The sequence below is a fragment of the Homo sapiens genome, chromosome 11 (genome assembly GCF_000001405.40).
Source record: "Homo sapiens chromosome 11, GRCh38.p14 Primary Assembly".
In the NCBI taxonomy this organism is placed as follows: domain Eukaryota; kingdom Metazoa; phylum Chordata; class Mammalia; order Primates; family Hominidae; genus Homo; species Homo sapiens.
In genome coordinates this window covers 10,915,125-10,929,354 of record NC_000011.10, presented here as the reverse complement: position 1 = coordinate 10,929,354, position 14,230 = coordinate 10,915,125, and the positions used below count along the sequence as shown (strand labels likewise).

The window sequence follows — 14,230 nt, the reverse complement described above, 5'->3', positions numbered from 1 at the left end:
GGGTTCGATGGGATTTACAAATGTTCTCTCAGTAGCTGTTTTTTCATCAGTAAAATTTCTCTATCTGAATCACTATTTCTATGTAGCAAAAACAATTTAATATCTCTATAAAGGTCATTGATTTCTTGCTTACAAAGTAAGCACGTCCTTGTAAGCAAAGTCCTTGCTTACAAAGAAGACACACCCAGTGTATGTGCACCTGCTTAATTTTCATGGAGGAGACTGCATTCTTAACTGGTGCCCAAGGCCCAGGTCTCCTTCCCAAATGAGTCTCTTGCTCCCCAAAGTCTCCACTCATGTCAAACAGCCATGCCTAGTGTTCTTGGAACATATCAACTACGCTCCCATCTTCAGGACTTTGCTCTTATCCTTCTCCTTCCTCCAGGGCCTTTTCTTTCTGCTTGCCTCATATTTTTTTCAGCCCGCATTCATTAGAATCCAAATAAAGTCCCAATTTGTCAGTAAAGTTTTTTAGCATCCCCAGGGATTTTTCCTGCCTCTGAGCCCCTCCAGTTCTTGCTATCAACACCACTCATTGCTTTATGTTGTTGCATCATTTACAGACATGCTCTGTCTTCTAGATTTGAAGATCTTAAAGGCAAGGACCATGTCTGATTTCTCCTCCTCTATCTTCTGCTCATAGCAGACACTTTGCAAGTGTGGTTGATTATAATGATGCTGGTCATAAGTGATACAAAACACTAGAATTTCTAGCCATAAGAAAAGAGCATAGATTCAGAAGTTAAACTGAGCCAGATTCAAATCCTACTGCCTCCATTTACTAATGATGTGACCTTGGGAACCTCTCAGAATTCCTCTGAACCTCAAGTTTCTCATCTATAAAATGGGAACAATGGGTGGGGCATGGTGGCTCTTGCCTGTAATCCCAGCACTTTGGGAGGCTGAGGTGAGCAGATCACATGAGGTCCCGAGTTCTAGACCAGCCTGGCCAACATGGTGAAACCCCGTTTCTACTAAAAATACAAAAAATTAGCAGGGTGTGGTGGTGGGCACCTGTAATCCCAGCTACTCGGGAAGCTGAGGCAGGAGAATGGCTTGAACCCGGGAGGTGGAGCCGAGAGCACACCACTGCATTTCAGCCTGGGTAAGAGTGAGACTCTGTCTCAAATAGATAAATAAATAATAATGGAAACAATGATAGGATTATTGGAAGGCTCTAATGAAGTAATGCTTATTACAGTGTAAAAAGTGCTTAGTATATCATACACACTGAATAGTTGGTACTATTTTTTACTACTATTAATAAAAATGAAAAAAAGATTGACTAGAGTTTGCTAATCATTTTAAAGAGCATTTGTTTAATAAAAGTCTGTCAAACATGATGAAATTATCTGTCAAAGAATTTCACATTAAAGATCAGTGACAAATAAGTAGTTCTGGGGACTTCGCACTTGAGTGAAATTCCATAGCTCTGAGATTTTGCTAGCCAGTGCCAATGTCTGTGACCCTTGCTCAAAGTTACCAAAGTATGCTAATTTTAACAGTCATTACTTTGTTTCCAGAATTTGAAATGACACTCAGAGCTAACTCAGTCTTCTAGAACGCTGGAGCTGGGAGTCACTCTAGGGACAGCCCTTGTTCTGTAAACAAGGGAGCAACAGCCCTGACAGAGCCAACTGGCAGGTAAGTGGCAGAGCTGGAATTTTGAACTTCAATATCCTAACCTCCAGTTCAGAGCTCAGAATCACCACACCTTGCTGAGTGCTTGGAGAAAGAGTAACTGGGGAACTCATGCCCCATAGACCAGGAACACTGGGATTTGATCTCCTCCAAGTGTATTTATTCCCATGAGCTCCACTGAGTGACCATACTTAAAGACTGCAGGAAGAAGGGTGCGACTTGTTTAATAGCTGTTGAATGTAAAACAGTTCTCTTGCTAAAACCTTTGGCCTCCTCCAGTGACTGCTCTCTAAATACTCCATTTTCTGAGAGTGAGAATAGTTAATGCTCAAAGATGCTAAACAACAGCTGCAGTCTGCATCTTCTCTCTAGAGTTGCTGCTCAGCATTGAATCCAGCCTCTAGGCTGGAACTCAAGTAACCTCGCTGCTTTGAAAGGTAGCTCTGGGGAATATTAAAAAGTCACCAAACCTCCTGGGACTCATATGCAGAGACACTTTGTATATGGAAGCAAACAGGATGAAAAAGGCTGCACAGAGCATGCCATGCTTCTGACACATTGTGGGCTCCAATGTATGGTCTCTGACTGCTATGGTTTCATCTGAGAGGAAAGCAAAGAAGAGAAATAAATGTTTGTTGAGTGAATGACTAATTGCCAAAGGTATAATTCAGTAATCAGTCACAGCACCATCAGTCATTTCTGAGCAACTAAATTTTCACAAACAGAATCATCACCCCTCTGGCATACAGGGCAGAGCTTGGCTCCTGTCTCAGCATTCTGGGGGCTTTCTCAGATGACAGATTGTAGGAATTCCTGGCATGTAGAACTCACAATGAAATTTGCCCAGAGAAGCATCTTGCATGAATCAAATTTAACTGTCACATGGTTCCCATGAAGGCACTTGGCAGGGAGAGTCCATCCCTGTGGACTAGAAATATACCTTGATTCATAAGGAAGCCCCATCAAATTCAAGGCCCAGACTAGAGCCAAATAAGGTCCGTTCCATCCCTCATCTTCTATAAACTCAGCCATAACTCTCATCCTGAGAATCTAGCATTGTGACCTCATAACAGCCTTGCCCTTACCTTGTCCCCACACATGTGACCTCTGAGCCGTTCACTCGTGATTCATGACTTACACCCCTTCCAGGACAATACTAAGCACTGACCACCACACCGGCTGACATTGCAGGCTCCAGAACCTATAATATCACCTCCTCTAGACACAGTGATGAGTGCAGTTCCTCCCAAGCTAACTCTCTAGCCTACAGCATTGCATCTATAATTGTATAGAATCAAGGCCAGGAGCGGTGGCTCATGCCTGTAATCCCAGCACTTTGGAAGGCTGAGGCAGGTGGATCATTTGAGGTCAGGGGTTCAAGACCCACCTGGCCAACATGGTGAAACCCTGTCTCTACAAAAAAATAGAAAAAAATGAGCCGGGCGTGGTGACGCACGCCTGTAATCCCAGCTACTTGGGAAGCTGAGACATGAGAATCACTCGAACCCAGGAGGCACAGGCTACAGTGAGCCTAGATGGCGCCACTGCACTCCAGCCTGGGTGACAGAGTGAGACCCTGTCTCAAAAAAAAATGTATAGAATCCCAGACAGACCCATTTGTTGAGCATTCACTGTGTGCCAGGTACGTAGCTAAACATTCTACAGGCATTATCTGATTTCATTCTCCCAATAGCCAAGTGAGGTAGATTTTATTATGCTCATTTTATATGTGAGGAAACAGAAGCTCAGAGATCAAATGACTGGCCCAAGGTCACACAACTAACAAGTGACAGAGCAAAATTAGTACCCAGATGTGGCTGACTCCAAATCTCCAGCTGGTAGCCTCTGCAGTCCACAGCAGCCTTTGTCATGCTGTCTTTCATTGCTAAGGGACAGCTCTGCACACTCATGAACACCAGGCCGCCAGTACTGGAGACAGCTGGAACTGGTCTAGCCAGCTCACTCATCCATCTGTTCATCCTTCTAGCAGATGTTGATACCTACTGTAGGCCAGGGCTGTGGCAGGTGCTGGGGATTTAGAATAAATAGCGCAGAAGTCCTGCCCTTAGCATGAGGATTTTGAAGGCAAGCAAGGACTTATTCTGGAGGCTGCTCCGTCTGTCGCCCGTGTAGGTTCCCTTTTACCAACAGATCATATTTGCAGGGAGCTCTGGGTTGCAGAGCTGGGCTCTTGGGGCCTGGATAATGCAAAGTCCAGAGCACAGGGCCAAGTCACACTGCTGTTGACACCATGCTCGGCATTTATCCCAAGGGAACTTCAAACAGTGGAGTAATCCAAAACTTCTCATTTTCACCTGCCTGGAATTGCTCTTTGGCTATACCTTTGAATGACTCAGTAATAGCAATATTTCTAGAGCCATCATAATTCATATAAAAGTGGTTTGTGTTTCTTCAGTTACCAGCTTAATCTGATATAGAAGGCCTGGAGGGCTATGGAGAAATTCCCAAACACCTCCTAACATTCCTTGAATTTTTTTCCTTCTCATGGGAAATGAATGAGGCAGACAATTGTGACTGACCCTTGTGCTGAAGTCACACCACATCTATGTGCACCCTTCCAGAAGCTCTACTTCTTCAACAGGTGGAACATGAAAGAGGTGCAAGATTTCTGTAATAAATTCTCCTTCTCCAGCAATTATATTCACTTACACTTTAAGTATTCTTATTAAGGATAGCGAAAGCCTGCCTGCTGAGACTGCCCACTCCAACAGGGAAACACTCCAATTTCTTCCCCAGAGAGGTAAAGGAGCTTGAGAGTGCTCACAGAACTTGGCCATGGCTGTGCACGGTGGCTCACGCCTGTAATCCCAACACTTTGGGAGGCCAAGGTGCATGGATCACCTGAAGTCAGAAGTTCAAGACCAGCCTGGCCAACATGATGAAACCCCATCTCTACTAAAAATACAAAATACAAATAGCCGGGCGTGGTGGTACGTGCCTGTACTCCCAGCTACTAGGGAGGCCGAGGCACAAGACTTGCTTGAATCCGGGAGGCAGAGGTTGCAGTGAGCCGAGATTGTGCCACTGCATTCCAGTTGGGCGACAGAGTAAGACCCTATCTCAAAAAAATAAAAATAAAAATAGAACTCGGCCAGAACAAGCTTGGCCAGAACAGGCAACTGACTTCTGTGTTTACCCACTAAGACCAAATAGGCCATCCCAGCTAATCCTAGATTATTCAGACTTCCAAAACAACCCCACCTTTGGTGATGAACTGAAAAACAGTTCATCCACCTTGGGTGACAGAGTGAGATTCCGACTCAAAAAAAAAAAAAAAGAATTAATTGTAGCTGTCCACAAACATGTCCATTATGATATTATTTTTATGTGACAGAAAAGAAGTAGGGGCACGTGTAAGTAAATTGTAGTATATCCACTGGAGAATACCACACAGTCATTAATAATCACATATAATAATATCTAAAAACATGGCAAATTATTCACAATGTATTGTTAGATTTTAAAAAGCTATATAGTATACATTATACTGTCCCAATTTTGCACATAAAAGATGTTTATTTGCATAAATACAAGGAAATCCTGCCATTTACAACAACATGGATGAATCTGGAAGACATTATGCTAAGTGAAATAAGCCAAATGCAGAAAGACAAATACTGCATGATCTCACTTACATGTGGAATCTAAATTAGTTGAACTCATACAAGCAGAGAGTAGAATGGTAGTTACCAAGGCTAGTGGGAGGGGGAAATGGGTAGATGATGATTAAAGTTACTAAGTTTCAGTTATGCAAGATAAATAAGCTCTGGAGATCTAATGTATAGCATGGTGACTATTGTTAGCAATGCTGTTTTGTATACTTGGAATTTGCTGAGATGGTAGATCTTAAAGTATTCTCATCACAAAAAAAAGATAACTACATTAACTAGTTTGATTGTGGTGGTTATTTCATTATACGTATATATAAAAACATGAGGGCTGGGCACAGTGGCTCACGCCTGTAATCCCAGCACTTTGGGAAGCCAAGGTGGGCGGATCACGAGGTCGGGAGATTGAGACCATCCTGGCCAACATGGTGAAACCCTGTCTCTACTAAAAATACAAAACTAGCTGAGTGTGGTGGTGCTTGTCTGTAATCCCAGCTACCTGGGAGGCTGAGGCAGGAGAATCGCTTAAACCAGGGAGTTGGAGGTTGCAGCGAGCCGAGATCGCGCCACCGCACTCCAAGCTGACAACGGAGCAAGACTCCATCTCAAAAAAAGAAAAAAAAAAACAAAACATGAAGCTGTAAACCTTAAATATATACAATTTCTACTTGTCAAACATACTCCAGCAAAGTTGGAAGAAGGAAAAAAAAAGAAGTCCACATACAAAGGAAGCCCTAATTCCAGGGATGGACATTAAGTCAAGCCTGACCGATCACAGCATCACAGTCCCTAACATAGGGATTGCTTAAGGAATAGCGTTTGCTCTAATCACAGCCAATGAAATGCAATAAAGTTTTTGTGGAACTGCTGAGAGAGAAACACATGATCTTTCCTACTGGACTTAAATCAAGAAAGACAAAAGGCTGGCACTGCCAGAAGCCTTCTCACTACCACTTAACAGCCTGAAGGTGACATCAATATCAATCTAGGGAGAACTAGTGCCAAGAAATAGAATGAGATTTGGATCTAGTGACATCATTTAATTCCCTGATCAAAACATACCTGAAGCTATACTATTCCTGTACTTTTTAGTTGCACAACCCAATAAATTGCCCCCACCTTTTTTTTTTTAACTTAAGCCAAGATGAGCTAAGTTTTCCATGGCTCACATACAAGAGAATCCTAAATGATATGCTCTCAAGTTCAACACCTATTTCCAAATATTGCAGGGATGGTCAAACACACCTTTTAGAAATTATAAACATCCTGCAGAAGCTGAAAAACTCTCCATGAGAGTAATTATCATAGTTATTATCCTATTCAGAAATCTATTTTTGACTCTTATTATCCCATTTGATTCGACAATTATACCCCTGAATAACAGCTCCTCCTTCAAAGGGGCTGTTATGAAGAATAAAGGAGGATAAAAATACATTAAAATGCTCAGAACAGTGCCTGACACACAGTAGGTTCTCAATAAATCTTAGTCTCCTTTTCCTAGAATATGATGCCCAAACACCAAATGCACACAGATGAGAAGCTTACACGTTATCAAGACCTACACAGTTGTCCAAGATAATGTTCTTTGGACCTATTTTGCACTGAAACATGGGCAGAGCATCAAATATTTGCAAGAAGACATCCCTAATGCAGTGATACTGTTATGCTTACAAATGATGGGCCAAAATATGTATCTTATGAGGAGGACATCACAGTGGACACTTTCGTAGAACAATTGCCACAACAGGAGAATTGACTCCAGGTAGATGGGAAGCAGGAAGTCCTACCAAGGACAAACTACAATGATGCATTTGATGTGTTGACTGAGAAAAACAGCCCCAGAGAATCTGAAGAACCCGCGCTGACACAGAACTAGAAGGAGATGTGTGTCCCAAAGCCGGGCCTTCTTTTTGAAGATGTTGCTGACGTTCCTAAGAGGACAAAGTATTACAAAGCGCATGCATTTGAAATCAGACAGACCTAAATTATAATCCCAGATAATTATAATCCCCTACTTACTGGCTAAGTGGCCTTGAACTACTTTTTTGTTTTGTTTTGTTTTGTTTTTTGAGACAGGGTCTCGCTCTGTCATGTAGTGGTGTGAGCATGGCTCACTGCAGTCTCAACCTTGTGGGCTCATGTGATCCTCCTACCTCAGCTTCCCAAGTAGCTGGGACTACAGGTGCATGCCAGCACACCTGACTAATTTTTTTGGATGTTGTGTAGGGACGGGGTCTCATTATGTTGCCCAGGCTGGTCTTAAACTCATGGGCTCAAGTGATCCTTTTGCTTGGCCTCCAAAATGCTGGGATTACAGGCATAAGCCACTGCACCCGCCTGACAAATGCACTGAGCTATTTCTTAAACTCACTAAGTCTCTGTTTTCTTATCTGTGACATTTGGATAATAATATGTACCTGGTAGTGTCTCCTTTCCTCTAAGGTGTGACAGTCGTTAGGGATGCTGACAGAGTCCTGTTCTCTTGCCAGGTGTATGTAGGTCTGTACTTCCCCACCCTCTTTGAAGTCAGATGTGTTCTTATGGTTTCCTTTGGGAAGTGAAATGTGTGCTGAAGTGACTTAGGTCTGTTGAGGTGGAAGCTTTATGAACCAGAGCATGATCTGTTAGGTCCTCTTCCACCTGACAAGGTGATTCCAGAAGCGAGTATCCAGATTGGACCTCTGTCAGCCTGAGCCGCCAGGTGTCTATGATGGACAAAACTCCCTGCTGAACTGCCCTGGATATGGATCATGAGCAAGAAATTGATTTTGAGTTGCTTCTTATTTGAGCATAACCAAACCTATCTTGCTTGATACATCAGGTTAGATCATTTCCTGTATGTGAAGTCATTTGGAGATATTCAGTATACACTTTAATTCACTCAAAGCTTTGAACTTCTCCATATATTACAATCAATGTTAAGATATTTCTAGAATTGTAAGAGTAAAGTTAGGAAGATTCAAACTAAAATGGACAGGATTAGAAAGGATTGATACTATCTGGTGCCAACCAAGATGTAGGATGACAAGCATTTTCATACCCTGCTGTAAGGAATGTAATTGCCTAATCCTTCTGAAGGACAATCCAGCCCTGTCTATCAAAATCTGACCTACTTTAGACATTTTTTCTTAGAAAATTATACACCCATGCAAAAACTGGTTATAAGAGTGAAATATTGGAAACAACCTAAATGTCTAATAATAGGAGGCTGGTTATATAAAGCATGGTAAATACGCATATGGAATACTAGGAGGAACATAAAGAACAATGAGGTCAATTTATATTTTTAATACAGGTATTATTATTTGTAAAAGGCAAAGTAAAGTAGTATATATGGTATGATTGTGTTTTCATAAATATATGTTTGCAATACTGAAAGATAAGCTACCAAAGTGCTACTAATGGTTATCTTTGTGTAATAAGCTACAGTTAATTTTCACTTTATTCATTTTTCCTTCTGAGCACCTGCTTCTTTTTCAAAAAAACCTACAAACATATATTATTACTTTTTTAATCAGAAGAAAGTAAGAAAGCTATTTCTATTCTGAAAATGGAGGGGAATGAGTGGGAGGAGAGAGGCAGAGGCAGAGGCACAGGCAGACAGAGAGAGCGACAGAGGGAAGGATTAACCTCAGTGCTAACCTCAGATTAGCAGGAGTGACCAAGCAGTTGTCTGTAAACCATGGCTGCAAGATTGTGAAACACCCAAGTTCTGTGGAGAAGAGTTATGTTTAAAATGATTGTAACAACACAATACCAAAAGCTAATCAGCTAACAGACCCTGAGAAAAGACATTTTTAAAAGGTTGCTCAGGGTGGAGTATAGAAAAAAAGGAGTCAAACAGCCAAACTGTGTTCCTGTGTCTAGAGTTTTTCTGTGAGATATGGCAGCCACTAGCCACATGTAGCTACTGAACACTTGAAATGAGGTTAATTCAAATTGAAATGTGCCATAAGCATAACATAAACAATGGACTTCAAAGACCTAATATGAAAAAAAAAACTATGTTATTAATAATTCTAACATAGATTATGTGTTGAAATAATAATATATTTCATATATTGGGTTAAAGAAAGTATATTTACATTACCTTTGCCTGCTCCTATTTACCTTTTAATCTGGCTACTAGAAGGCTTAAATTTCCATACATGGCCCACATTTTATTTCCATTGGACAATGCTGGCCTAGATTATTGTCCTGAGGGAAGATTGTCAGCTCTGGCTTAATTTACCTGAACCAATTTATCCAGAATTCATATTTGCTAAATGTACAATATTTTACACTGGAGAGAATGATTTCCAACACTTTTTTAAAGTTTGGTGCTTTTTTTTTTTTTCTAATTTGCCCACTTTTGAGCACTTTCCATGAATACCAATCTAAGGCTATTTCTGTCTATTTCTATCTAAGGCTATTTATGTCTCAATTTTAAGTTAAAATACTAATCAGAAGATGAGAACATTTGGAGAAAGATTCAGAAAAAGGGAAACTTATTCCCTGTGACTAGGAAAACAGCGTAGCGTCTCACATTTTTCTGTCATCGTTTTTATTTCTTTTCAACAAGGAGAAAAAGGCAGGTGGCTCATTGCAGAAAACTCAGAAGTGCAAATCGGCTCCTTCTCTGAGTATAATTTAAGCAGGTGGTCAGATCCTCTCCACGGATTTCATACCAACATAAATTCCAGATGGACCAAAGAGACACTTTTTAAGCCATAAGAAAAACTATATGAATATTAAATGTACTACATATTTAACCATTGGAACAGGAAGATTTTTGAAACAACAAGGAAGAAGAAGAAAAAAAGTGGATAGAGTAGACTATATACAAATTTAAAACTTCTAGATATAAAAAAGTATAGAAACAACAGATGAGAGAAAATAATTATAGCAAGTATCACAAACATTAAATAAGCTTTCAAAAATATATAGATCTTAGACAAATTGATTTTAAAAATACTTTGACCTTGATATGGTTTGGATGTTTGTCCCCTCCAAATCTCATGTTGAAATGTGATTCCCAATGTGATTTCCTGGTGGGAGGTGATTGGATCATGTGGGCAGATCCCTCATGAATGGTTAACACCCCTTGGTGATAAGTCACTTCTTGCTCAGTTAGTTCACGTGAGATTTGATTGCTTAAGAGTCTGGTACCACATCCTAGTCTCTCTCTGTGACTTCCTCTCTCACCATATGATTCATCTGCTCCCCATTCACCTTCTACCATGACTGTAAGCTTCCTGAGGCCCTCACCAGATGCAGATGCCAGCACCATACTTACTATACAGTTTGCAGAACTGTGAGCCAAATAAACCTCTTTTCTTTATAAATTACCCAGTCTTAGATATTTATAGCAACACAAGAATGGACTAACACAGAAAATTGGTACTGAGGAGTCAGGCATTGCTATAAAGATACCTGAAAATTTGGAAGTGCCTTTAGAACTGGGTAATAGGCAGAGGCTGGAAGAGTTTGGAGGGCTCAGAAGAAGATAGGAAGATGAGGAAAAGTGTGGAACTTCTTAGAGACTGGTTAAATGGTTGTGACTGAAATGCTAGTAGAAATACAGATACTGAAGGCCAGGCTGTCGAGGTCTCAGAAGGAAATGAGGAAGTTATTGGGAACTGGAGTAAAAGTCACCCATGTTACACTCTAGCAAAGAATTTGACTGCATTGTGTTCATGTCCTAGGGATCTGTGGAAATTTGAACTTAAGAGTGATGACCTAGGATATCTGGCAGAAAAAAATTCTAAGCAGCAAAGCATCCAGAAAGTAGTCTGCCTGCTTCTAACAGCCTGCAATAAGTTATAGGAGCAAAGAAATGACTTAAAGCTGAAACTTACATTTAAAAGGGAAACAAAGCATACAAGTTTGGAAAACTCGTAGCCAGCCATGTGGCAGAGAATAAAAAAGCATTATTGAGAGAGGAATATAAACAGGCTGTGGAGCAACCACTTGCTAGGGGGATTAGCGTGACTAAAAGGGTGCCAAGGGCTAATATCCAAGACAATGAGCAAAAGGCCTCAAAGTCACTTTAGAGATCTTAGAGACAGCTCCTCCCATCACAGGCTCAGAGGCCTAGGTGGAAAAAATGGTTTCAGAGGCCAGGCCCAAGGCCTCACTGTCCTGCTCAGCCTCAGAACACTGCTCCCCACATCCCAGCTGCTCCAGCTCCAGCCTCAGCTCAAAGGGGCCCAGGTATAGCTCAGGCTGCTGCTTCAGAGGGTGAAAGCTGTAAGCCTTGGCAACTTCCACACAGTGTTAAGCCTGTAGGCATGCAGAATGTAAGAGTGAAGGAGGCTTAGCAGCTTCCACTTCAATTTCAGAGCCTAGGTGCTAGGGCAGAAGTCTGCCCCAGGGTCAGAGCCCTGGCAGAGAGCCTCTGCTAGGGCAGCCCTGAGAGGAAATGTGGGGTTGGAGCCCCCACACAGAATACCCACTAAGGCACTGCCTAATGGAGCTTTGGGAAGGGGACTGTCATTATCCAGAACCAAGAATGGTAGAGCCAGCAGCAGCTTGCATCCTCAGCCTGGAAAAGCCACAGGCACTGGACTCTAGCCCATCAGAGCAGCCATGTGGACTGCATTCAGCAAAGCCACAGAGGCAGAGCTACCAAGACCCTGGGAGCCCATCCCTGCACTAGTGTTCTTTGGATGGGGAACATGGTGTCAAAGGAGATTATTTTGGAGCTTTAAGATTTAATGGCTGCTCTGCTGGATTTTGGACTTGCTTGGGGTCTGTTGCCTCTTTCTTATGGCCGATTCCTCCCTTTTAAAATAGGAATGTTTACCCAATGCCTGCACCACCATTGTGTCTGGGAAGTAAATAACTTGTTTTTGATCTTACAGGTTCATAGGTAGAAGAAACTCATCTCCAGATGAGTCTTTGGACTTGGGACTTGGGACTTTTGAGTTAAGACTTCAGAGGACTATTATGAAGGCATGATTATATTTTGAAATGTGAGAAGGACATGAGATTCAGGGAGCCAGGGGCAGAATGATATGGTTTGGATGTTTGTCCCCTCCAAATCTCATGTTGAAATGTGATTCCCAATGTGATTTCCTGGTGGGAGGTGATTGGGATCATGGGGGCAGATCCCTCATGAATGGTTAACACCCGTTGGTGATAAGTCAGTTCTTGCTCAGTTAGTTCACATGAGATTTGATTGCTTAAGAGTCTGGGACCACACCCTTGTCTCTCTCTGGCTTTCTCTCTCACCATATGATTCATCTGCTCCTCCTTCACCTTCTACCATGACTGTAAGCTTCCTGAGGCCCTCACCTCAGTGAGGCAGATGCCAGCCCCACACTTCCTGTACAGCCTGCAGAACTGTGAGCCAAATTAAACTCTTTTCTTTATAAACTACCTAGTCTCAGGTATTTCTTTTTTTGTTTTTGTTTTTGTCCTTTTGGTTTGTTTTTGTTGTTGTTTGAGATAGGGTCTCTCTCTGTCACCCAGGCTGGTATGCAGTGGTGCGATCATGGCTCACTGCAGCCTCGAACTCCTGGGCTAAAGTGATCCGCCCACCTCAGCCTCCCGAGTAGCTGGGACTACAAGTGCATGCCACTGTGTCCAACTAATTTGTTTTTTAGAGATGGGATCTCACTATGTTCCCTAAGCTAGGTTAGGTATTTCTTTATAGCAACACAACAGATTAACACAGACCTCCTAAAAGTAAAGACCTGAATTCATAATTTATCAAAGAATTATAGCTAGCAGGCTGGGCGCGATGGCTCACACCTGTAATCCCAGCACTTTGGGAGGCCGAGGCAGGTGGATCACTTGAGGTCAGGAGCTCTAGATAAGCCTGGCCAACATGGTGAAACCCCGTCTCTACTAAAAATACAAAAACTAGCCAGGTGTGGTGGCACATGCCTGTAATCCCAGCTACTCAGGAGGCTGAGACAGGAGAATCGCTTGAACCCAGGAGGCAGAAGTTGCAGTGAGCTGAGATCGAGCCACTGCATTCCAGCCCGGACAAGACAACACTCTGTCTCAAAAAAAAAAAAAAAAAGAATTATAGCTAGCTAGCAAAGAATCTCATGAAAACATGTTCAGTCTCCCTTGTAAACAATCAAATGCAAATTAAAGCAAAAGATATCTATGCCACCAAATATTAATGTCACCAGATATATATTCCACCAGATAGATAGTCCATTAGATATATATTCTGATTATCAAATATATTATTGCAATTGTTATTTTATTTGGTGCTGGTGAGAATATAGCAAAATGGGCACTAACTTATTTCTGTTGATTCTAAAAATTGGTATAAACTATTTGAAAAAATTTCCTGTGAAAAGCCTTTGATATAGTAATTCAGCATCTGGGAATCTATCTCAAGGAAAAACAAACACAAACACAAAAGTCCTTGTAAGCAAAAATATTTGGCCCAGGGTTATTTATAAGATCAAAAAATTAAAAATAACTTTTTAAAAATAAAGAGAGGCTTAAGTAAAATATGGTGTATACACTCAATGGAATATTGTGTAGTCAATAAAAAATGTTTGCTCAGACTATAGACTAACATGGAAAATACATTGATATAATATTTAGTGAAAAAACAGGATCTCTAATTGTATACATAATTATAACTATGTAAAAACTATTCTTTTTTAAAAGTTAGAAGGAAATGTTCATTTTGTCTATCTTTCAGTAGTGCAACGAGATACATTTTTCTTCTTTCTTTGTTTCTAAACTCTTTTTTAATGCTTTATAAATTAATATTACAGTAGGCTAAATAGTAGAAAGGAGTTTTATGGTAGACCATCCCAAAGATGTGCACATCCCAATCCCCTGAACCCGTATATATGTTACCTTACATGGTAAAAGGGACTTTGTAGATGTGATTAAGATTTCAAAATGGGGAGAGGAACTGGATTGTCCAGGTAGGCCTAATATAATCAAAAGGGTCCTTATAAGACATAGACAGAGGGGCAAGAGAGAAGACAGTTGATGTGGTGACA

At 41.3% G+C, this 14,230-nt stretch overlaps 1 long non-coding RNA gene across 3 annotated transcripts in view; it reads left to right on the top strand.

The window, feature by feature from the left end:
- LOC107984309 (uncharacterized) overlaps window positions 1–14,230 on the top strand; it is a 31,528-nt gene that overhangs the window by 2,314 nt on the left and 14,984 nt on the right. The window contains exons 2-3 of one of the 3 annotated variants that reach the window (XR_001748124.2): window positions 1,524–1,644; window positions 12,113–12,274. This is a non-coding gene — a long non-coding RNA (uncharacterized LOC107984309). Of the gene's footprint in view, window positions 1–1,523; window positions 2,286–12,112; window positions 12,275–14,230 lie in introns of those variants that run through there. The other 2 variants (XR_007062590.1, XR_007062589.1) reach the window with 2 other exon arrangements.